Source organism: Homo sapiens, chromosome 12, assembly GCF_000001405.40.
Source record: "Homo sapiens chromosome 12, GRCh38.p14 Primary Assembly".
Classification (NCBI taxonomy): Eukaryota; Metazoa; Chordata; class Mammalia; order Primates; family Hominidae; genus Homo; species Homo sapiens.
Genome location: NC_000012.12, coordinates 80,912,606 through 80,938,997, shown reverse-complemented (window position 1 = coordinate 80,938,997; position 26,392 = coordinate 80,912,606). Strand labels below are relative to the sequence as shown.

The 26,392-nt window shown below is 38.9% G+C and overlaps 1 protein-coding gene and 1 non-coding gene across 6 annotated transcripts in view, besides 1 other annotated feature; both read left to right on the top strand.

Annotated features, from left to right (window-relative positions):
• Nucleotides 1,064–26,392, top strand: part of LIN7A (lin-7 cell polarity scaffold A) — a 145,415-nt gene continuing 120,086 nt past the window's right edge. For 3 of the 5 annotated variants that reach the window (NR_136888.3, XM_011538928.4, NM_004664.4), the window contains exon 1: nt 1,064–1,357. Coding sequence is in view for 2 of the 5 variants with exons in the window: in XM_011538928.4 (XP_011537230.3) it covers nt 1,276–1,357 (82 nt within the window). In the remaining 3 variants the exon portion in view is untranslated. The remainder of the gene's footprint in view (nt 1,358–26,392) is intronic. The other 2 variants (NR_136887.2, NM_001324423.2) reach the window with 1 other exon arrangement.
• Nucleotides 1,727–1,936: a silencer, noted in NCBI's record as "silent region_4685". NCBI's record gives its function as "represses an Ori minimal core promoter by ATAC-STARR-seq in GM12878 lymphoblastoid cells {active_cell/tissue: GM12878}" and the evidence as "EXISTENCE:reporter gene assay evidence [ECO:0000049][PMID:35858748]".
• MIR618 (microRNA 618) lies at nt 3,165–3,262 on the top strand. Its single transcript, NR_030349.1, has one exon. It is a non-coding gene; the product is annotated as a microRNA 618 (primary transcript).

Sequence of the window (26,392 nt, the reverse complement as noted above, 5' to 3'; positions counted from 1 at the left end):
TTATAGAAGGTTTCTTTATGTTTCTTGATTTCGTAGTCAGGAAATGAATCCCTACTATGACAAGATAGTGAAAGTAGCCTTTTTATTGGGGCGAAGAGGTCACAGCCAGTATTTGAAGGCTCTCGTAATTTAATCCTGATCAACTGACTCTAAAGTCAGGTTTTTAATAACACCATCTCCCACTAGATTACAGGCTACAGGAAGTCGGAGACTAAATTGAACTCCTAAATCAAGGCGTGGCACAAGGCAATGTAACTCTTCTATCTCAATTCCTGGCATATATGTTAATCAATCGATAAGTGGCATCTCTGAACCACTGGTTAGAAATCAACATGAAAAGTGCTAGGTACATATTTTTCAAACGTAGTCATAGACAACCAAAATCAGTTTGGACATTAAGAGCAAAGTTTTTGTTGCTGGGTGGGTGAGGGGGAGTGGGGCATGTTTACAGGATGTGGTATGTAAAAAATTCGGAGAAAATCTGAACACTGTACTTGTTTCTAAGCTACATTTACTGAATTGGTAATGTATTAACAGTGGCTTGAAAAAGAAAAACTTAGCGATAGAAACTTACCTACACGTTTTTTATTTTGAAGCACTTTTAAGAGGTTTGCCTTTTTTTTTTTTTTTCTCCAGGCAATATACTCAGGTCCTAAATGAACATCTACTGATGGAACGCTGGCCTTTAGTCAGTTATCTTTATATGCCGTTATAGGTCAACATTCCGAAAAACTTCAACAGAAATTAACTGCAAATGTAATTACATCCCAAACATTTCTGATAATGGAAGCATTTTCTCTCTAAAGGGGATGGGATTATTGGATTGGCAATTTCTCTTAATCTGAGAAAACTCATCTCCCACTCCCTTCCCCATATCCCCTTTCCATCCTCTCTCTTCCCCTTATACACACACGCACCCGCATGCACACACGTATATTCTGACCATTTTATTAGAGTGGAAAGTTGAAAGGAAGCAACCCGCCAGCTACACCCACCCAGCGCTCCTGGGGGTGGAATAGCAAAGTTCTAGGGCAGAGCCTTCCCTCCCAGAGCCCGGCGATGCAGTCGCTCTCGGATACCTGCTCAGCTCCGCACCGCAACTGAAGATCTGCCGCCGCGGAACAGTTGCGTCTCCATCTGGCTACCAACCCACCCAAGCTTTCTTCTCCACCACCACCACCTTCCTTCCTTCCCCCTCCTCCCCCTCCTTTCCGTCTTCCCTCTCCACCCCCGCCCCCAATCTCCTCCTTTTTTTCTCACTACGAGCGGTTGCTGATGCTGAAGCCGAGCGTCACTTCGGCTCCCACGGCAGACATGGCGACATTGACAGTGGTCCAGCCGCTCACCCTGGACAGAGGTAAGGGAGCGGCTCGCTCGCCAGGCCACCGCGTCCCCTCTCCCCTCCTCCCTTCCCCGCCTGCCAATTCCCAACGGGACATGGGACGCGCTCAGGCAGGAGGAGAAGGGGAACGAGGACGAGCCAGGAAGGCGTTCGCGCCGAGAACAGAACACTTTCTTCCCCTTTCTCTCCCCGCTACGTTCCCGCTGCCCCTTCCCACTGTACTCGCCCCGCCGAGGGGACGCCTCCTTCTGGCTCTGGGGTCCCCGCTGCCACTCCCAGCCCCTCGCCGGGTCGTCTCCGGTCCTCTGGCTTTGTTGGAGCCGCTGCGCGGGGACGGCTATAGGCGCCAGGGGCTCGGGGTTGGAGAGGGGCAGAGAGCAAGCTCGCCCGGCCAGAGCCCAGAGGAGACCGGCGAGGGAGCCGCCTGTCAGCTTGCTTGGCGCAGGGGCCCGGGAGGAAGGAAGTTTGTCCAGGCGCCGGAGGGCGAGGGTCGGTCCAACTGCTGGAGTCCCGGCGGCCACTCGGGGGGCGGGCTGGGCGCACCCCTGGGCTGCCGGGCGCACAGTGGCGGGGCTGCAGCAGGCAGGGAGCTGCCCTCTGCCGAAAGGGCAAGGCAGAGCGCGGGGAGCCGAGCCCCAGCAGCCGAGATCGGCTCTCCGCGGCTTCGAGATCGAAAGCGGCGAGGGTCGCGTCTGCTCCCGCCGCCGGCAGCTCCCGGTCGATAGCAACTCTCGGCTTCTCCCGCGCCAGCCTCTCGTGTCCTCTCCCAGCTCGGTGCCACCGCGGCGCCCAGGCTGCGGAAGGCGCGGGGACAAAGCGCAGGTCGGGTTAAAATTCAACTTCTGACCTGCCACCCAGTGAGTCCTGCTCTCTGACTTGAACGGGGAAAGTGTTCGCTTCCTCCCCAGGACGCCCTCACAAGCTCAGGGATGGAGTCCTCCGCTGCGATCGGGGCCTCACTGGTGCACCCCTGTGGGGTTATACCTGTCCCTGAGTGTGTGGGTTTCCTTCCTGGCTCCAGCGTCCAGTGATGAAGGCGCTCGAGTCCTACGGCTCTGCAGAGGAGGACACCCTCTAGTCCCTCTCCGCAGCCGCCGGATTTAGGACCCTGGGCGGCCATTTGGAAATGGTGTACTCAGAAGAAAATGATTTAGTCCGATGTACCTCTAAAAATTTTCTTTCTAGAGGATTAAACTGAACGATGGGCAAGGCAAAAGAACATCCTGCTGAGAGTACAGTAACAAAGCCAGTGAACTCAGTTTGAGGTTTTTAATTTGGAGAGACTGTGGGTGACTTTAACGCAATCTGTTGGCGCCAGAACAGATGTTCTGTGGTGCCCATAGCAACCTTTCTTAGGGTAAGAGTTGAAAAATAAAATGTAATTGATTTTATATTAGAAAATGTTGATTTGTAAGCTGGCAAAATTAATAACAGTAGTTAAAGACCTCAGAAATCCATTGTATAATCCATGATTTTACCCACAATATCATCATCTGCACTAAGCAGGATAAATCCATTGCCGGTAAGAACCAAACAGATGGCAAGCTATCAGAAACTATGAGCTTCCCAAGTATTTATGTTTTAATGTAATGAGCTCTTATATTGTCCCATTACAAAATCACAGTCGTTAAACATCCCAAATCAAGTGACTATGTTAGGAGCAAAAACTCCAAGAAGATTGCATACCTGGGTCATTTTATATACTACCACTACTACTAATAATACAAATATTTCAATGTTGGGTTTTACCTTAGCCCTTAGATGCCTCAGTCGGTTGATGAGAGGAGGTGCTAATCGGACTAAGATTTATTTTTAAAGTTTGCTCTTGTTCACAGCCAAACTCTACTTGTCCTTCTGAGTGTAATTACGTACATGCAGTAGCTCAGGAGACAAGCAGGTTTACCCTGTGGATGAGTCTGAAAAAATTCATCAGCAGCTCATGGAAAATCTATAACCAAGAGATGATGGGTTATTGGCATCACCACTGAGCATAAAGTCAATATATATAAATATTGTTCTCCGTATCTTATTCAAATATGATTAATTACTTTCATTATTAAACTGATGAAGGAAAAGGTTCTAAAAATTTCCCTTCAAAAAAGGTGCATTTTTAAAGAGGCAACCCAGTATTACATATCTGGGTCCTAGCTGCAACTCTGATACTCACTCTGCATACATCAGCCTCTCTGGACATCAGATTCTCTCTGTGCCACATCAGGAGTTTGAATTAGATGATTCTAACACTGTGCAGCTTTAGCAGTCTATAATTCAATTAATTAGAGTTAGGACTCAGTTTTTGGTCACCTACTGGGAGATTTTCCAGATCACCTCTCTCCCAGGCTGCTTTGGTACCCTTTGATGCGCTCTAAATTGACTTGCTGCTTTGGCCCCATTAAAGCATTTATCACACTCTGTTGCATTTGTCTATCCCTATTGGATAGAACTCCGTGAGGGAAGAGACCATTTCTAAATTCATCTTTGAATTCTCAGTGTCTGCTATAGTCCCTGACTCACAGTACAATAAAAAAATAATGTTAAGTTGGTGTAAGTAAACTCAGGATAGCAGTAACTTAAGCAATGTTAAAATATAGTGATTTCCTAGTGAACTGAGGTGCATTTCATAGATTCACAGTATTTTAACCATGGAAAGGATGATAGTGATAACATAGGCCAGAGATTCTCAACCTAGCTTTCCCCTATACACTTGATGGATTGCCGTCAGTAACAATAGCTCACTAAAACTGTGATGTTTAACCAAGAGGAATTGTGGCAGGTGGGCAAAGGAGAGGAAGGGAAGAAGGTGCTTGACAAAGCCTCCCAAGGGCATCCCAGCAAATCTGAATATATAATCCACAATTTTAGAGCTGCTAGTTCTTTTTTGGTATCTTCATTTTACAAATGAAAAAGCATGAAAATGTGATGATAAGAGATATTTTCAAGTTGCTCTACTATTTAGTGGAGATTTTTATATTACAATTGAATTATTTTTGTTTGCTACCTTTTGACATCATACATGGATATAGTCTTCAGGGCAAATGTTTTAAGCAAACAAATCAAAGCTAGGGATCGAAATTAAGATTTACTGCTTTCCAAATTTGAAAGATATATCTGAAAGTAAGAAACTCAGAAGTCTGCACCTAGCTTCCTGGGTCTGCTCTGGGAAGTAAGCTTTTTCAAGGTCTAGGCTGGGCCCCAAAAGGATGAACAAGGTGATTACAGATTTTCATGGCCCTGTGCCTATCCAAAACTCTTTTTGATCTGCCATTAAGATCTGAGATCAACCCTGTAAAGGTCTCTGGGTGGCTATGGTCATTGTAAGTTCTTATTGACTTTGGTCCCAGTCCTTGATATCCTTCACTTAATGAGTACCTATCATAAGCCAGACCCTATTGTGGGATTGGTACACACTGGTGTGATAAAGAGACATAATTCTACTTTTTGTGGTAATTAGAACCTACTAGGAGAGGGAGATTAAAATACACACAGAGGCAAATATTAATTCATTCAATATTCATTTATCACCTTCTATATGCAAGATGCTGGAGGAATACCAGAAACAAAAGTTTCTGCTTTTGTGGTCCTTACGAGTCTAATGGGAGAGATGGATGATAAGTAAGGGCTTAATTAATTAATTTAACAAATAAATATTGTGCACCAGACTTACGCCAAACATTGTTTTATACACTGTGCCAGTGCTAATGGACAAAATAAATAAAATCTAATGGCATTTGCATGCTAATGAGAGTCACACAATGAACACACACATAAACAACTACAAGTGCCAAGGAGAAGAAATAAAACTGGGTAAAGGAGAGTGCTATAAATGGGGGCTGCTGTTTTAGATGTGTTAGTAAAGGAACACCCTCCTGAGTCAGTGACATTTGAGAAGAGTCCTGTAGAAAGTGAGGAGGCAAAGTTGCAGATACCTGGGGAAATGTCCTCAGGAGGGGGAACTCCTGTGCATACTGGGAACAGCCAGGAAGGTCAGTGTGAAAAAGTGAGAGAGGGAAGAATATGAAAAATGGGATGTGTAAAGTTGGTAGCCGGGGGTCAGATGATGTAACTCATAATTAGAATTTCAGATTAGTTGAAATTTGAAGTGCTCTGAAGAAAATAAACATGTGGTTGGAATAGAGAATAACAGAGAAGGGCCTGTTTGGTTAGCATTGGTCGAGGAAGGCTCACTGAGAAAGCAAAATTTAAACTACGTTTTGGTGTATTAGATTAATAAGATCTTTAGGAAAAGCATTCTGGAGAGAGTGAAGAGTATACATAAAAGCAGGTCCACAGTCACAACTTATCTGTCTTTCAGTTTTTACATTTATAACCAAGAAAATGATCAAAAACTGAAATTACCAAGAAATAATAACGCATTAATTATGCATCCTGGGGTAGAAATTTAATTATATATTAAGAAAATCTATAGATCAGCTTTTTGCTTCTTTGTATTACAAGGCTAAAACATCATATATTATAATTCGATTTTTAGAAATATACTGAGCACTGTAATTTACATGTCACTATGCATAAATCTACATGTTGAATCCAAGTGGTCATAAGAGGAGATATATTCAATTTTAGTCCAATATTTTATGTTAGACAGTGGTATAGAAAGTAGTACATGTCATTTACCCTTGTAACAAAGAGAAGATACTGATAAGGAGATTAGTGTGGAATTCTTCTCTTCCAGACCTTAAAATGTTCATAGCAACTCTTCTCTACATCAGAGGTTAGTTTGCTCAGATTTTAATCTTTAAAACCAGGAATGACCTTCAGCTAAACTCAAGGGAACAAAGAAGAATGCAATCCTTAATACTTAACACGTGGATATTAAAGAACATAGAAATGCTTCAGGAATTAAAGACCGCATGGATTTAGGGACTTTCTAAAGTATGGTAGCTCCAATTCTCCTTCACTTTTCATCTCAAGGTCAGAGAAGATAATACAAAATAACTCTTCAAATTTTACTTTTGCTTACTCTGTTCCCTTAATTTTTAAGCCAAATGGCTCTTGAATACTCATGGCTTATGAAGGAATAATACAAAACCAACTCTTGGAGAAAAATGAATAATTAAAACATTTCTAATACTTTCCTTATGACATGATTAGTAGCTTCCAATCTGCATTTAAATGCTTACATAAGATACAAGGTTGGTATTACTATCATCTAACTTTTCCGTGAGTTAAATTCATTTTGGACAAGTTGCAAAAATGAAAATGGAAATCTTTATTTCTTGGCTTCTAAAATAAGTCGTAATTTAAAATATTGATTAAACAAATCCTAGTGTGCTTTTCATTTAAGACAAATCAAACTTTTGTCCTTTAAAAAATCTGCTATAAAACCAAGAACTTTTATTTTGTGGATTTCAACCTTATGGAAAACAAGTATAAGAACAAAAATTGAATGCAAATAACTATCCCATGGGTGCCACACTTGTCATAGAATTTGTGATACATTACAATTTTTCTCTTTTCCCTTTTCACTTTTCAAGGCAGGCAGAGCTTATTACTTCATGCGTCTTCCGATTCAAGCCCTGGGAAGCCTATAGGTTTTCTAATCAGCTTTATTCACTGGTTTTTATAAAATCTGTATTTGCCAGAAAATTGCTTTTGCTTACACTCCAGAGGGGTTTGCCCCTTCTCTTGCTCCTAGTTTGTTTGTTTGTTTTAATTTGACACGGAGAAAGATTAAGGAAGAAGGAAAATAAAAATTAGGTTAGTCTTTATGTCGTTTTCAAGATGTATGCCCTGGTGTTTTGATCAGGGGTAGAAAAGAGGAGGGCTGACTATATTTTATGTCTCTTGTCCTAAATCCTTCCCATAGCAGCAGCCGCATGTGTTTTAGTGTACAAACAAGTAAGCGCTTGCTTGCTCTCTCATATTTTCTCTGGGCTCCAGCAAATATTAAAAAATTGAACTGAACTTTTTTATTTCTTTGTAAATCAATGAGTGTTTCCTTTCACACTATATAGTTACAAAACACTCCAGGAGTTTTCCATTTTTTTTTTTTTTTTCTTTTTGACAGAGTCTTGCCCTGTTGCCCAGGCAGGAGTGTGGTGGTGTGATCTCGGCTCACTGCAACCTCAGCCTTTTGGGTTTAAGCGATTCTCTGGCCTCAGCCTCCCGAGGAGGCAACAGGCAACACCACCAGGCCCAGCTGATGTTTTTGTATTTTTTAATAGAGACGGGTTTTTGCCATGTTGGCCAGGCTGGTCTGGAACTCCTGACCTCAGGTGATGCGCGTGCCTCAGCCTCCCAAAGTGCTGGAATGACAAGCAAGAGCCACTGCACCCAGCCTGTTTTTTATTTGATAATTAAAAGTTACAAAGAGAATGACTCAAATCTCTAAAGCATTTTGGTTACAAAAATAAGAAATTTGGTGAATCCTTTCTAGTTTGGTGTGTCATTCATCCGAGCCCTGAAATGTATTTGGTGTGCTCCTGTCAGTTATGAAATTAATGCTCTTGCTTATGAGTGTTGTTTTTCAGGGATCACAACTAAGGCCTAGCTCTTAAGTAGAGGAAAGAAAACATCTAGGGAGTACTATCAAACAGGAAGGTGTCCTGGGTATTAGAGATGGTGTTATATGCACAATGCCAGTATCTCTTTGAGTTCTTTTCTTAAAGTCATGACATTTGCCTGTTAGGATATACTTTCCATCAGGTCAGAGACCATGTCGGGTTTGTTTATGTAGAACCCAGCACATTGTGTGGCACATAGTTGGCACGCTCTTTGTATTTGTTGATTGAATGAGTGAATGAATGAATAAAATTGGCTTAGCAAGACTTAGCTGTCATGGATTATTCTTAATGCAACAAAACAAAACAAAACAAAAGCCTTCTAACCTAAAATAATGAAAAGTAGTGGCTACCTTAGGATGTCACTTTGCCTCTCTGTGTATGTAGCTGGCTCCTACAAGTGTAGTGCTCTCAAGGGCCAAGAAAGAATGTGAGGTGTTGGTTTTGATAGTCATAGCCCTGTTTCAGTTGTCTGCATTTACCCTGCTGTTTTAACTTATGAATTGAATCGCACGAGCTAATGTCAGAATACAACTGAAAAGGTTTTTTAAATGGGTGGAGTTGCTATAGAATTGCCCCCCTCCACACACATATATATAAGCTACGCTTTTCAATTTTTTTAACCATAAATACATGAATGACAGAACTATGTCCTAATAAACAAATTAAAATGGATTTAACTTGAACTCACTCTGCACTACCAAATGTGAACTTAACCTTAAAAATTGTGTTAATTTCATCCATGCCTTAGTTCTGGTTTATTCAATTGAGATCTTTAAAAAAAAAGATTGAATTTTGCTAAGTAATATACTAACTGAATTCAAACACTTGTCCAATAAAAATAAATATGCCTGAAAACCACTTGAAAAAAATCATGAGGGATTGAAACTTATTTTGTAGTTATATTCAAGTATCTACCTATCTTGGACATAAAGCTAGGGTGTCTAATTTCCATTGATGGTAATTTTCCTTAGAAACAATATAGCTAGTCCAAGTCTAACTGTTTGTGCAACTTTTGTTTACTTGCCCAGTGTGGAGATAGTTATATTTCAATATAACATCTTTTGTTTTTAAATTAATCAAAGGATTACCTTTAACTAAAAAAAGATAGAATAATGGGAGTCACAACATGGCTATAAGATTTAAACCCACAAGATAGATGGAGAAACATAGCATGAAATCACAGCTGGGTCTATTTAACAATAATGAAGAAAAAATTGGGGAATATAGTTGAGGGACTGCTGAAAGTGATTTTTGAGGAAAATTGGAGAAGAGCAGTAATTGCTGATGGACAAATAACCTGGCTTCCAAAAAGATGACAAAGGTGTTTTGGGAAACTATAGGGCAATCTATTTGTTGCCTCTTGGCCCATATATATATTTTAAAATATATATAAAATGTGTGTGTGTGTGTACATATATATATTTAAAAGAATGAGATATTGGCACTTAGAAAAGAAAGTGGTGATCCCAGAGGCTACGTGGAAAATCACTAAGAGTAGACATTGCAGAAGTTCAGACATATGTCATAGTCTCATTATATATTCATGACCCCACAACTCTCACAGACACCTTGTGGAAAATGTGGAAATACATAAAGTGGATGATTGCATTGTTGGATTTCTAGTAGAAACACTTCTCCAAGGAAGTTTGGTTCATGGTCTTGTTTGGCACTGTTACCAATATTTTGAATGAGCACCATAGAATATATTTTAACAAACTTTACAGGTGACTAAGCTAGGAGGAATAACAAATAATTTGGCCAACCCTACCAATATTCTAAAATTATTCCTAGCTTGAATGGCAGGTTACAATAAAAGAGATAAAATTTAGAGGAAATGAATGTAGCCTTCATTTATTAGATTGAATCAAATTAGAATGCTGATTGCATATTGATTGTACTGGTGTCTGACTGGAATAATCTGGTTTAAGAGTATTTTATTTGGAAAAGATTGAGGACTTTATTTATTAGGTTGGTGCAAAAGTAATTGAGGTTTTTGCCATTGAAGGTAATATCAAAGACTGCAATTACTTTTGCACCAACATAATAATAAATTCATCATGAGCAGTGTGATTAAATTATCAAAATATTATAAAAACTCTCTGGAAAATTAAATATAAAACTAGTTAATATTAATAATGTAGAAAAACACTAATACAGCATACCCTAGCAGGGATTATTTAAAAGATATTAGAATAACTGTATTGGTATATTAATCATGTTAATAATAAGTTTTAAAACATGATGAAAATTAAACTCAATACAATACAAAAATTAACTCAAGATGGATTAAAGACTTAAATGTAAGACCTAAAATCATAAAAAACCCTAGAAGAAAACCTAGGCAATACCATTCAGGGCATAGGCATGGGCAAAGACTTCATGACTAAAACACCAAAAGCAAATGGCAACAAAAGCCAAAATAGACAAATGGGATCTACTTAAACTAAAGAGCTCCTGAACAGCAAAAGAAACTATCATCAGAGAGAACAGGCAACCTACAGAATGGGAGAAAATTTTTGCAATCTACCCATCTGACAAAAGACTAATATCCAGAATCTACAAAGAAACAAATTTACAAGAAAAAAACAAACAACCCCATCAAAAAATGGGAAAAAGATATGAACAGACATTCCTCAAAAGAAGACATTTATGCAGCCAACAGACACGTGAATGTCATCACTGGTCATCAGAGAAATGCAAATCAAATCCACAATGGGATGCCATCTCACACCAGTTAGAATGGCGATCATTAAAAAGTCAGGAAACAGATGCTGGAGAGGATGTGGAGAAATAGGAACACTTTTACACTCTTGGTGGGAGTGTAAATTGGTTCAACCATTGTGGAAGACAGTGTGGCGATCCCTCAAGGATCTAGAACTAGAAATGCTATTTGACCCAGCGATCCCATTACTGAGTATATATCCAAAGGATTATAAATCATGCTACTATAAAGACACATGCACATGTATGTTTATTGCAGCACTATTCACAACAGCAAAGACTTGGAACCAACCCAAATGTCCATCAATGATAGACTGGATTAAGAAAATGTGGCACATATACACCATGGAATACTATGCAGCCATAAAAAAGGATGAGTTGATGTCCTTTGCAGGGACATGGATGAAGCTGGAAACCATCATTCTCAGCAAACTATCACAAGGACAGAAAACCAAACACCGCATATTCTCACTCATAGATGGGAATTGAACAATGAGAACACATGGACACAGGGTGGGGAACATCACACAGCCAGGCCTGTGGGGAGGTGGGGGGATGGGGAGGGATAGCTTGAGGAGAAATACCTAATGTAAATGACGAGTTGACGGGTGCAGCAAACCAACGTGGCACATGTATACCTATGTAACAAACCTGCACATTGTGCACATGTACCCTAGAACTTAAAGTATAATTTTAAAAAAATGATGAAAAACAAATTCACAGTTAGCAGTTTTTCTCAACTGAGACACCATTGGTAGTTAGGGCGCTAAGTTTATTTGTCATATAAGAGGTTTGGTATCCTTAGTTCCCAGGAGCTAAATGCCAGCTTGAATCACACTGTGTTAACTGAAAATACCCAATGAATTTCCACATTCCCTTTTTAAAGGCAGTTCTATCCCATCTAGTTGAGAACCATCAGTGTCCAAAAAAGTAGGATAGTTCAACCTTAGAAAATAATTTACTGTGGCCGGGCGTGGTGGCTCACGCCTGCAATCCCAGCACTTTGGGAGGCCAAGGCGGGCAGATCACGAGGTCAGGAGCTCCAGACCACGGTGAAACCCCGTCTCTGCTAAAAATACAAAAAATTAGCTGGGCGCGGTGGCGGGCGCCTGTAGTCCCAGCTACTCGGGAGGCTGAGGCAGGTGAATCGCCTGAAGCCGGAAGGCGGAGCTTGCAATGAGCCGAGATCACGCCACTGCACTCCAGCCTGGGCGACGGAGCGAGACTCCGTCTCAAAAAAAAAAAAAAAAAAAAAAAAGAAAAAGAAAAGAAAATAGTTTACTGTAACTCTTTACACTAACAGATTAAAGGAGAAAAACCATATCATTTTAGTATATATTGATAAAGGCATGTGATGAAAGATAACATTAATATCTGATTAAAAAACAACTTTTAGTAATCTCTAAGTAGAGGACTTCCTTAACTTGACAAACACTAGGCATGAAATGCCGCCAATGTCAATTTTTTTTTTTTTTTTTTTTTTTTTGAGATGGAGTCTCGCACTGTCTCCCAGGCTGGAGTGCTGTGGTGCGATCTCGGCTTACTGTAAGCTCCGCCTCCCGGGTTCACCCATTCTCCTGCCTCAGCCTCCCGAATAGGTGGGACTATAGGCTCCCACCACCATGCCCGGCTAATTTCTTGTATTTTTAGTAGAGACGGGGTTTCACCGTGTTAGCCACCAAAGTCTTGATCTCCTGACCTCATGATCCACCTGCCTCGGCCTCCCAAAGTGCTGGGATTGTCAAATATTATATTTAGAGGTGAGAGAGTGAACATTTCTGTTCACATCACATCAAACAAAGCACAAAAATGGTTTAACCAATGTTATAAAACAATAAATAACAAAATATTAAATAGAAACTGTCAAAGTAATTATTTCCAGATTGATTGTCAACTACAAAGCTGTTAGATAATATTAGTGAATTTGCTAAGGTAATACAACCTTTCATATGCACAAATCAATGATCCTATTTCTAAATAGAGTCCAAAAAAAATCAATCCCTTATATTCAAATAATAAGTTAAAAATTGATGGAAAAGTAATTTATAATAAAGAAGGAATTTTAAAAATAGGAATGAAAATAGGAACAAAAAAAGCTAAAATTATATTTTTGAATGCCTTCTGTATGTCATGTTTACTCTATATTTAGGGAGGGAGATACAGAAATAAACAAGATAGATTCTCTGTTAGTGACTGTGCTTATGTTCTAGTTAAGTCAACAGATAAAATATTTAAATAAGTAAACAAATAGTATGATTCCAGAGAGCAAAGTGCAGAGAAGAAAAGTTAACAGTGGAATACAACTGAAAGCTACACCATGAGATTCTGGAAGGGCTCTCCAAGGAGGTGACATTACAGCAGAAACAACCATGCAACGATCTGGAAGAACACTTTGAGAAGAGGAAAGAGCTAGTGCAATGATGATCATCTTGCAGGGTGCAAGCAATAGCAAGCAGTAACTAGAAGAAAGAAAATAAAGAGGAGAATGGAACAGATGGATAGAGGGTGGTAGTCAGGTATTAATGCCTATTTTACAAGATTGTTGTGAGGATTAAATGAGATAATGGACAGCAAAATACTGTGCAAACTGTAAAGTGACATTTTAATACTATTTTCTTCAAGTTTCTATTGCACTAGAAGTCATTTCTGGAGTATTGTATTGTTTGGGAAGTCACATCTTTCTGTATTTAAAAACATACACTCCAGAGCCCATCCTACCTGGGTTTGAATCACGGCTTTTCTACTTAATAGCTCTCCAATTTCCCTCAAAGTTACTTGAATAAGTCTCAGTTTTCTTATCTGTAAAACGGAAAATAGTAATAATAGCACTGACCCGATAAAGTTGTTGGTTTTAAATGAGTTAATGTGTGTAAAGCACATAGAACAGGCCTGACATATAGTAACTACCCAACAATGATAATTATTTCTTTGCTGAGTCCTGGATATCATGTGCTTCCACCCTCCTGCCAAGAGACAAGGACAGAGAATGTTTGCTGCCTTCAGGCTATATGAAGAGGCAAGGGCTCAGTTTATTTTGGTATCTCCAGAAGCAGGAAGCACTTGGAGATACCTGGATGTTCAAATAAAAATTGCCCTGTATACTCACCTAATTTGCCATTCTGCTCTTGCCCCAAATCACATACTTCTTGATGTTTCAATTAACACATTTTAAATAATTCTATTAGAACACTTACCACATGAGGTTGAAATTTTCTTCTATATGGCTGTCACCCTAAAAATATGTGTTTTAATATATATCTTTCCGTACTCATTGCCTATCACAGTGCTTGAAAGATATGTGCTCAAACATTTGCTGAGTAAATTAGTGGTTTGTCTTCAAATATTGCATAGTTTTAGAGGGTAAAACTAGGTAAATGAGCGAAGGATATAAACTGACATTTTTTATTCAAGAAAAAATTTCCTACATTTATTCTCTTTAAAATTAGACTCAGGCAGTGCCTTCTGGGAATTAATGAACATCATATTAGTGGAAATGGACAGACAAAATTGAATAACAATTTGTAAAAGTTGTTACAGATGGATTTTGAGATTCAGTGATAGTTCAGGACAGGAGTTAGAGTTTATGTAGATGTTCAGCTGTCTTATTTTATTTTTCTAATATAAGCTAATCATATACAGATATCAAATGTGTACTAAGTAACTGACTGGGGTAAATATAACCAAGAGTGACTTTTAACTTTCTTTTTAGTTCTATTTAATTGCGATGCATCACATAATGCTGAGAAAGGCAAACATGGCTTTAGGGGTATGAGCTTTGGATCCAGATGACTGAGTCCCAGTCCTGTCTATCCCTGCTTCATCCTAGCCATATAACCTTGACCTGCTACTATCCTTTCTGTACTTTAGTTTTCCTCTGTAAAACTGAAAATAATTATAGTCTCTGCCATATAAGGTTGCTGTAAATATCTAATGAGAAAACACATGCAAGTGCTTAGAACACGACCAGGTCCATAGTAAGTGCTCAACAATTATTTTATTCTCCACCTCTTCTCCCCAGGGGTGCATTTTCCCCAATGCAATAAATGAAAGATTGCATGGGCTTCAGATTTAGATACATATGGATTTGAATTGCAGTTCTGCCACTTGCCATCTATGAAAGCTTTGAATATTGCTACCCTCTCCACACTGTATTTCTTTCATCTTTAATATAGGAATTATGACACCCAGTTTGCATGGTGACACATTCCTTTGATTATTCTTTCCTTTGCTTAGCCATTCAGTGTAAAGTAAATGATAGCCTAATGAGTGCCCAGTACCAAGGCAGGGCTAGGGAAAGAGCTAATATTCTAGGGAAGAAGACAGTTATTATGCAGATAATTTAGAATAACATATTTTGAGTAGGATAACAACAGCTCACATACACTGAATATTTACTACATGACAGACATAGTGCTTAGCACTTTTCATGTTTCATTTTAATTAATCTTCACAATAAACTTATAAGGCAACAAGCTTCACAACAAACTTTCATTTCAATTAATCTTCACAACAAACAAAATACAAAACATTATTTGTATTTTGAAGAATTGAGAATTGAGGCATAAAGAGGCTAAACAAAGAGGAATGGAGCTCGGTCTGGTTGATTCTTGAGAACTTAAGCTTAACCACTAGACTATACTATCAACAGCAAGTGCATAGGTCAGTAATAGAATCTATAGCAAGCTCTGAGGAACATGAACTTGCAAGGAACAATTGAGGCACAGGTGCTTGCAAAGACTTCAAAGAACAGACAGGTAGAAGGCACACCAGGAGAGTATGTTGTATGAGAAAAAAAGGAAGGAACTTTGTACAATGCTTACAAAAGGAACTTACATAGCAATGTTGGTAAAGCAATTTAAAAATGTAATATATTTTTAAGGTCCAGCACAATTATTGAAAAATAGCAGATGTTAAATAAATGATTGTGCTTATTAATAGTGGTTATTAATTTCTTAGTACAAAAGGCAAAAATACCCATAGACAGTGTATTAGGCAGGGTTTTTCAGAGACACAGAGCAAGATATACAGCTATAAATTTAAGAGAGAGGATTTATCAGAGGAATTGGCTCACACAATTATGGAGGCTGAGAAGACCCACAGGCCCCTCAGAACCAGGAAAGCCAGCAGTGTAACTCTCAGTTTGAGACAGAAAGCCTGAGAACCCCAATGAGTTGCTGGTATAAATCCCAGAGTCCAGAAACCAGAGAAACTGCAGTTCTGACGTCCAAGGACAAAAGAAGAAAGGTTTTCCAGCTCCGGTAGAAAGAGTGCAAGTTCGCCTTTCTTCTGCCTTTTTGTTTTATCTGGGCTAGGGTGCCTGCCCACATTAGGTGAGGGTGGATCTTCTTTACTCAGTTCACTGACTCAAATTCCAGTCTCTTCCAGAAACACCCTCACAGACATAACAAGAAATAGTGATTTACCAACTACAGTAGTGCCCCCCACTTATGCAAGGGGGTATGTGCCAAGACCCCCGGGGGCTGCCTGAAGCCAAGGTTAGTAGTGAACCCTCTGTATACTGTTTTTCTTATACAGTAATGGGCAGGTAGTGTATACAGGACAAAGGGATGATTCATGTCCCGGACAGAGATGGAAGGCAAGGGGTTTCATTGTGCTACTCAGAGCAAAGCACAATTTAAAATAGATGAATCATTCATTTCTAGAATTTTCCATTTAATATTTTTGGACAGAGATTGACTGCAGGTAACCATAACCACAGAAATCGAAACTGAGGATAAGGGGGGATTACTGTATCTGGGTATCTTTTAATTCAGTCAAATTGACACTTAAAATTAACTATCTCAGATTAAATTATAAGAAAGTACCAGCATATTTTGATCCTTCTTCCCAGGCTGTGCTAGTGAACCAAGAGATCATGACTGTGACATTCAGGTTACCTTTCAGTGGCCTGTAATACACAGACAAAACTTCTTTATATGGACCTGGAATTTTGATAGGCTCACAAAAGTGAGTGAAAAGTGGTAATAGTGCCCCAAGTCTTCTTTCCTGATAGTCTTTGCCTCCTAGTGAAAGGAGAGAAAGGCATTTGGGAATGTAGCAGGCCCTGAATTTCAGTCATGAAGAGAGAATCTTGACATCCCTTTAATGTTACTTGTGAATGTCCTAAAAGACATAGACTGTTCTTATCCAACATCATTAAAATACATGCCTTGAGGTTTTAATACGGATTTTAAGTGGACCAAGTAATGCTATATTTTTCTAGCACTCTATCTGGAAAAGATGTTCTACCTAAGTAAACTTACAGATAACAGATGTTTACTCCTGTAGGCCAAAATTTTATTTTTAACCATTTTTAACCTAAGCATAGGATTTATTTCCTTTCCTATTTCATTACAGCGCATGTTTTCTAGCAAATGGGCTTTTTGTAAACAGTGGAAGATAAAACAAATAAGGCAGTAGAATTTAATGCACATTACTGAAGGAATTCTGAGATACTTATTTTGTGAACTCAAAGGGAATATTTGCATCCTTCTGGCTTCTCAGACCTATCCTACTTAGCTGAGTTTGACAGATACATGCCTCTGGATGAATGAAATATTCTGTGACCAGGCAGACATTAATTTCTTCTGATGTCACACATTTTTCAAATATTGCCAGTTTGGCATCACATGGTAACCACCAATAGGAAAATGTTAAGATGGGTGTATGTTATAGGCTGAATATTTCTGTCCCCCCAAAATGCATATGTTGAAGCCCTAGCCCCTAATGTGATGGTACTTGAGGTGGGCTTTTAGGAGGTAATTAGGTTTCCATGAAGTCAGAAGGGTGGGGCCTCCCTGATGGGATTATTAGCCTTCTAAGAAGAGGAGAGCAGAGCATGCTCCCTCCCACCCTCCCCAACGCCTTTGTGCTCACTTGATCTCCCTCTCACTTCTGACTTGTGAAGACAGATCCAGAAGGCTGCTGTTCAGAACCAGAAGAAGACCCTCGTCAGGTAGAATCTGCTGGCACTCTGATCTTGGAAGTGCCAGCCTCCAAAACTATGAGAAATAAACATCAGTTGCTTAAGCCACTCAGTGTATGGCATTTTGTTACAGCAGTCTGCTTTAGTCTATTTGGGCTGCTATAATAAAATACCATAGACTAGGTCACTTATAAACTACAGATATATATTTCTTATGGTTCTGGAGTCTGGGAATTCCAAAATCAAGGTACCAGCATATTCCATGTCTGTTTAGGGCCTGTTTTTCCTGGTTCTTAGAGGACACCTTCTTGCTGTGTCCTCACGTGGTAGAAGGGGCAAGGCAGCTCTCTGAGGCCTAATCTCCAGCGCCCTCTTGACTTAATCATATCTCAAAGTCCTTACCTTCTAACACCATCACATTGGTGATTAGGCTTCAGCATAGGCATTTTGGAGGGACACATTCAGGCCATACCACAGCTGGAGCTAAGAGAGCGTAGCAATCATTACATGATCTTGGCCTCAGCAATCCTCTGTCTTAAGTAGCTGAACAGTTTAGCCATAGGCCAGATAGATGTACATGGATATTAGAACTAGATAGCATTATCTGGCCAATATTACAACTTAATATGGTACATATTAAGGTATTCCTGTTTTTTGCTTAGTTTTATTTTTCTTCTCTGCCTTAAGAAATCTCTGTCTTTCATGTACTAACAAGTTTTCAAAACTTCTCTTGGATCACTCTCCATTATTTTCAGAGCTTTAAAGAATATAATTTAATTATGCATATTTTTAAAGTTTCTCCTGAATATGTTTAAAGATGAGATTTTCTCTTTGTAAACTGTAAATTTTCCAAATGTGATGGAGCTCTAATCAATTGGCTTATATTCAAATAATACTTTAATGATCTAACGTTGATGTGAGCCTTTGCCTATTTTGCTCTGTCTTTTTTGTATTGTTTGTAATGTTGGCCCTAGGGTTTAGAGTATATATCCTTAATTTAACACAGTCTTCCTTAATAATATCACTTACAACCAACAATATACTTCCCATTGCTCCCTTCCATCTTTGGTGCTATTGTTGTATCTATAAACCCATAATTATTGCTACCAATTTTACCTTAACCCAGAGGTCACAAACTACAGCCCTGATATCAAATATATCTTGAGACTTAAAAATGGCTTTTACATATTTAAATAGTTGAAAAACATGAAAGAAGAATATTTTGTGACACATGGATATCATATTAAATTCAAATTTCAGCATCCATAAGTGAAGTTTATTGGAGCACCGCCACGCTCATTTACTCACAAATTGTCTACTGGCTGCTTTCCTGCTACGGCTGCAGAGTTGAATAGTTGGGACGGAGACTGGTCTGTGAACTATTTACTATATGGGCCTAATACTTTTCAACCTCTGCTTATAAAGCATTGAAGAAAAATAAAAAGAGAAGTTGTATTTTATATTGACTTTCAACTTAACCATTTGAGGTGCTCCACTGTGCACATGTGTCACCGAGAGATTCTGTCTCTTTGCCCTCTACCTTCCCCCAGGGGTAGACTGCAATTGCTTGTGACTTGATAGTGAATGAGCTTGGTGGTGGAGACGAAGGTGTTTCTCTGTTGTCCTGGTCCAGCCTCAGTCTTAGGAAGCCTCTGTGTGTCTGGGTCTCAAGCATAGGGCTTTCTCAGGATCCTGCCTTTCTTTGGTCTGCCAGACTAAATTCAGCCTTCTGTCTATGGAGAGTCTTGTGTGGGAGAGTTCCCTGCCCCTTTCCAGTGGTAGGAAATCTATAACAATATACATATACTATCAAAGGATTTCAGGACTAGGACTGTTTCCTGCCCTCTCTTTCCCACCCCATTCCTGGGATAGAGGGTTTTTGGCTTTTATCCTTCTCCCCGTTGTAATGGGTCTACACCTCTTGTTTTCCACCCTGATCTGTTCTTTCTAGGAAGCACCCGGTGGAAGTTTGTGGAAAAAAATCAGTGAGTGCTTGCCACTCTCAAAGGTTATATACTCATCCCTGCTCACAGTTGGCCCTTCCTGAATTTGTTAAACATTTTAGCTGGATTTTTCTCACTTATTTGGAATAGTACTCACTGTCTCTTCTTCCCAAGCTCTCCCACAGGTCAGGGAGCCTGTGTTCACTTTCCAACTCCTCTTAGAGGGGTTTTACACCCTTTTACTACTACTGTTTTGCAACGTTAACTCATACAATATGAACTATAAGTTATTCTCACCTAGCAGAGTAAGAAACTGTGTTCCCAGATGGGAAGACAGACTTAGAAAGCACTTTTGTAGCGTGGTTAATTTTTGGTGCTTATTTGTACATCTCAGCAACTACCGGCATGCATTCCTTAACGATGGAAATACATTCTATGAGAAAAGAAGCATTAGGTGATTTTATTGTGGGAATGTCATAGAGTGTACTTATAAAAACCTAGATAGTATAGCCTATTACACACCTAGGCTGTTTGGTATAGCCTATTGCTCCTAGGTTACAAACCTGTACAGGCTGTGACTGCACAGAATACTGTGGGCAGTTGTGACACAACGATAAGTGTTTGTGTATCTGAATATAGAAAAGGTACAGTGCAAATACAGTATCATAATCTTATGAGATCATTATCATATATGCAGCTCCTCATTGACTGAAATGTTATGTAGTCCATGACTGTATTTGCTTATGCAAACTATTTTTCTGTTCTTGCTCATATTTCAAATTAAAATCCAATTTAGAGATGAATTTTAAGTGAGTCTCTAATATGGTAGACTGAGCCAACACAGAAACTCTTCCATTACAAATATCAAGATGTGCCAGATAAAATTTAACAATTAAAAAACTATAGCTTAGATTGAAAATGAGGGAGTAGAATCTCCAAGTGTCTGAAATTAAAGGGAAAGGGAAATTGAAAGCTGGAATGGAGAGGTGTGAGCTGATACTTTAGTAAGAGTAGATGAAGGGAGATGAAAAGGGAGCAAGGGGTCCCAGACAGCCCTATGCCTGAGGTCAATACAGAACTGGAGGTGAGACATTAGAGTTGCATTATGCCCATAAGCCAAACTGCATTACCTAGTTTGGGATCTAAATATATTCCACCTACTTGGTTCAGGAATCCACCTTTCAAGGAATATACATAAGGCCAGGGACGGTGGCTCATGCCTGTAATCCCAGTACTGTGGGAGGCCAACATGGGTAGGATCGCTTGAGCTCAGGAGTTTGAGACCAGCCTCATCACTACAAAAAAAATTAAAAAATAAATAAAAAAAAATATCAGCCAGGCCTGGTGGTGCATGCCTGTAGTCCCAGCTACTAGGGAGGCTGAGGTGGGAGGATCACTTGAGTTTGGGAGATCAAGGCTGCAATGAGCAGTGATTGTGCCACTGCACTTCAGCCTGGATGACACAGGGAGATGATGTCTCAGAAAAAAAAGAAAAAGAAAAGAAAAACAATGAAAGAAAGAAATGTACATAAAATGAATTGTAGGCCAAGGCATACTGGAGATGGTAAAACGAAAGATAGCACTCAAACATTTATTTACACTGGTTTCTCATAGAAGAAACAGTCCCTTCCAAAAGTGTGCTCACAATTAAACATTAAAAACACATGAGGAGGAGCCAGAATATGAGGTGAATCAGTGTACACAACAAACCAACACGTGAATGAGGCCTGTGTTTCAGGCAAAGGGAACAGAAATCTGGAGGGAAAAGGTTATGTTTGAAGAGTGGAGAGATCTCGACACAAAAGTCAGAGACTATAAAATAAGCATATTTATAATTATTAAAAGTATGTATTGTGAAAGAATAGAAACTATAAACTAAGAGCATAACACTGAAATAATAATAGGTAAATTTGAAAAAAGATTATTTAAAAATATAAGAATATTGAAGAAAGATACTTTTACAAATAAAATGGCATCAAATTTTATTTTAAAGTTTAAAAAAACAAACATTTTAAATTATAATACCATTTTTATGTACTCACAGAAAAAAATAGCACCATTTTCATTTAAACTGATGCTATAGCCTTATTTCTGAAATGGCTTTTGAACTTAAAAGGAAGCTATTGTGAGTTAAGTATTAAAACAGCCAGTTTATGTTTGGCTTTTATTTCCTGAGACATTGATCTGGTCATCCTTTGCATTCAAATCTTCAGTGGCTTCCCATTGTCTAATATTCTTAATATGGCTGGCCTGATGGGTTTTATGGAATTGGGTCCATGGTTTCTTTGCCAGTTTGCCCTTTCACCACTTTGTAAGTATTTTTTAATTTTTCACATTTATAAGCATACCCTTCTCCTCTTGAATTTTTTGTTGCCTTGCCCAGAAATGCTTTTTCCTTAGATAATAACTTACCCTGAGCTTCATTCAGTCTCTACCCAAATGTCACCTCCCTAGAAGTATTATCCACCATATCTAACTTGTCTTTTCCCTACTCCCATCATTCTTTATTCTGTATCCCAGCTTAATTTGTTTTTATAACATTTTTATTAACTGACCATATGCCAATGTTTATTTGTGTATAGCCTTCCTCTTCTACTTAAGATGTCCCAAATGCTAGAACACAGCCTGGTACATTGTAGGTTTTTATCAAATATTTGTTGAATAAATAAGAAGTACCTCAGAGTCTTGCTGTGTTGCTCTCTCTGCGGGAAAGCTCTTCCCTTCTTCTTCTCTTTATCTGGCAAATGTCTACTTGTCTTCTTGGCACTCAGTTTCTAAATCCTCATGAAATCTTTTCCTATTCCTGCAACCTAGGTTATATCCTTCTGCTTTTACTTCCAAAGCACCTGTATGCTCTTTTGTAAATGCATTCACTTATCACTCAACAAATTCTTATTGAGGGCCCAGTATATTTCAACCTCTCTTCTAGGTTTTGGGACTGCAGCAGTGAATACAACAGACACAGTCTCAACTCTCAGGAAGCTTCTATTCTAGTGAAGTGGGGACAAGGGGCAAACAAGCAGGATAATTGGAGAAGCATGGCCCAGTCAGAGGAAACAGCAAGTGTAAATGCCTTGAGGCAGTAATGTTCTAAAGTGTTGGACAAACAGCAATGAGCTCAGTAGAGCTGGAGCAGAGGGAACAAGGCAAAGGACAGTAAGAAATGAAGTCAAACAGAGAGAGAGAGAAAGAGAAAGAGAGAAATCAGGGGGTGCATGAGGCTCAGGGTTACTATTTTAAAGACTTTGGCTTTTACTCTAAAATACTAAGCCACAGGAGGGATTTTGTGGATTAGTGACATGATCCAACTTATGTTTGAATAAACTCACTCAGCTATATTGATCATAGAATGTAAAGAGTAGACAGACAGATTAGTAAGAAAGTTATTGAAAAAATTCAGGTCAGAGATGGTGGTGGTTGGGATCAGGCTAGTAGCAGAAAAGATAATGACAAGTGATCAAATTCTGGTTGCCTTTGGAAGCCTTAGTAAACAGGATTTTTTCCCCCTCAAATTTTATTTTAGAATCAGGGAGAACATGTGCAGGTTTGTTAGAAAGATATATTACATGTTGCTGAGATTTGAAATATGAATGAATCCATCACCCAGGCAGTGAGCATAGTACCCAATAGGCAGTCTCAATTCTTGCCCCTCTCTCTCCCTCCCTGCTCTTGTATTCTTCATTGTCTGTTGTTCCCATCTTTATGTCCATGTGTACTCAATGTTTAGCTCTCACTTATAAGTGAGAACGTGTGGTATTTTGTTTTCTGTTTCTGCATTAGTTTGCTTAGGATAATAGCTTAATCAGCTGCATCCATCCAGTTGCTGCAAAGCACATGATTTTGTTCTTTTTTATGGCTGCATAGTGTTCCATAGTGTCTATGTACTGTATATTCTTTATCCAATCCACCATCGATGGACAACTAGGTTGATTCCATGTGTCTGCTATTGTGAATAGTGCTGTGATGAACATAAGAGTTCATGTGTCTTTTTGGTAGGTTGAATTATTTTCTCTTGGATATATACCCAGTAATGGGGTTTCCATGTTGAATGGTAACTCAACTCTTAGTTCTTTGAGAAGCCCCCAAACTATCTCCAGAACGGCTGGACTGTTTTACATTTCCACCAACAGTGTATAAATGTTCCCTTTTCTCTGTAGCCTTGCCTTGCCAATGTCTGTTATTTTTTTGACTTTTTAACAAACACCATTCTCACTGGTGTGAGATGGTATCTCATTGTAGTTTTGATTTGCATTTTCTGATGATTAGTGATGATGAGCATTTTTTCATGTTCATTAGTCACTTGTATGTCTTCTTTTGAGAAGTGTCTGTTCATGTCCTTTACCCAGTTTTTAATGGGGTTAATTTTTTTTGTTTTTTTGTTTTTTTTTTTTTTGCTTGTTGATTTAAGTTCCTTGTAGATTCTGGATATTAGACCTTTGCCAGATATATAGTTTGTGAATATTTTCTCCCATTCTGTAAGTTGTCTGTTTATTCCCTTGATGGTTTCTCTTGCTGTGTAGAAGCTCTTGAGTTTAATTAGATTCCACTTGTCAATTTTTGTTTTTGTTGCAATAGGCTCAAGTGATCCTCCCACCTTAGCCTCCTGACTAGCTAGGACCACAAGCGCTCACCACCACACCCAGCTAATTTTAAAAATATTTATTTTTTGTAGAGTCAGATTCTCACTATGTTGCCTAGGCTGGTCTTAAGCTTCTAGGCTCAAGAGATCCTCTTACCTCAGCCTCCCAATATGCTGAGATTACAGGCATGAGCCACAATCCTGACCATTAGAAACTATTAATAGAGGTTGCCCATAGTCTCACAGTTCTGTGTGAAAAGTTAATTCATTGCCAAGTGATGGTACCTATTTATTTGATATGACTGTGGGCAGTTTTAGTACAATGGATGCTAAGCTTAACATCTGGGCAGCTATCAATATGAAGAAAGTCATGAAAGATAACGTGAAACATGCGAGTTGCAGATTAATAAGCTTCTTTTGATGGGAGTGTTTGATTGAGAGTGTTTGAAAATTCTGAGTAAGGAAGTGAACTAATCTGACTGGTGTATTTATTAACTAATGTGAAAATTGGTTGCGGGATTGAATGTATGGGGAAGATTCGTGCTTTATAAACATTACTCTGAGAGAGTTTATTGGATGGTCCTTGAACAAAAGTTTCATGGTAAAATAAATTAGAAAATAATGGGTTTCCCAAACACTGGGTTAAACAAAATTGAAGGTGTTTCTTTACTGTAGGCTACAATATACTTTGTGAGTCTCCAAATGGTATGTAATATGCAGACGACGAAACTCTGTTCACGGAACCCGATCATTCTTTGGAATAGTTTGAGGATATTGGACTCTATTATTATAGTAATCTGTATGATCTGATCTTAACTTGAGGAGGAGTAATGGGAATGAAAGGAAGAAAGAGATCTTGATGGCATGCTTTATTGACTAATATGAGGTGAAAATGAGGAAAAGGAAAAAAGTCAAAGAGGAAACATGTTGGTCCATGAAGTTGATGAGTTTAGCTCAGCACTTAATGAGCTTTAAGATGTGGGGGAAACAACCAAGGATAAATTGGGACTGATATATGAAAAGTGTTCTAAGTTAGAGGCAAGTTTCAGAAGCATAGACGCCAAATAATATATAATGATAGAGAATAATCTCAAAGTAAGTAGAGCATGAATTAGCAACATTACAGAAGTAATAGCTATAGATTTTTTTCAGAAAATAATGCAGAATAGAACAAAAGACTACTTGAAGAAAAGCTGTGGCAACAAATAGTTGAAAGTAAGTATGTTTTATTCGACTAGCATCATTGTCAGTGTTCAGAGTGAGACATAAAAAGAAAACCTAATAAACACAGCATATGTATTCGCTATGGCAGTAAAGTGTGATGCTTCCTTCTGAAATCCTGGCATACTCGGGGTACTTGAGCAGTCGGTGATTTCTGATAAGCCAGGAATTCCTCGCTGTTTTAGCCTTCTCTTTTCTCCGGCTGGTATTGCCTCATAATTCATTGCGAACACATCAAGATCACAATCCCAGGCTCCCGTTTCCTCGTCTCCACATTCTCAGACATCTAACTTTTTTCTACACCTTGTAAACCACCCTCCTATAAGCAGCATTTGTTTCTTAGAACTGTGCTTGTCTGCACTTGCAGGCGTATCATGGAAAGTGTAGGAATTTATAGAATGGCTAAAAGGCTGAAAAGCGTCATCACCAGAAACAAAACCTTTTTAAACTGAGATTACGTAAAAGGCAACATAATATGTCCTTTGTTGTATTATATCCTTTGCATAATTAGATCTATTTAATACCTGTTAATTTATGGTTAGAAGGAAATGCATGTAGCAAAATATGTAGATGCATTTTCAAGGTCAGAATATGGAGTCTGGAAGAGAAATAAGGAACAGACGGTAAGCTCATAGGAAAATTAAGTCAGCCAGCTTTCCCCAGATGGTCACCTTTATACTGTTTTTTGTAGCTTGTGAATTAGGCACCTGTGTTTTCTTCAACTCACTCTCTGCCATGTGAATTCTTGCATTTGACATTTTAATTGCAAATAAAAACAATAAATTCTGAACATTTTTAATAAGAAACATGAGTGTTTTGTTCTTATTTTTAATATGAATGAAATTAATGTTTTAGAATTTCTAAAATGCTTATGCAGGTATGGAGGTGAGCTCACATACAGGATTTCTTTTTGCATTTTTCTGGAGACTGGCGTGGGTAACCTTTAAGATCTTTTCCATTTTAACATACGTATAACATATATTTTCTATAGAGTGTTTTCTTTTTCTTTTCTTTTCTTTTTTTTTTTTTTTTGAGACAAGTCTCAGTCTGTCACCCAGGCTGGAGTGCAGTGACGCGATCTCGGGTCACTGCAACCTCTGCCTCTGGGATTCAAGGGATTCGCCTGCCTCAGCCTCCTGA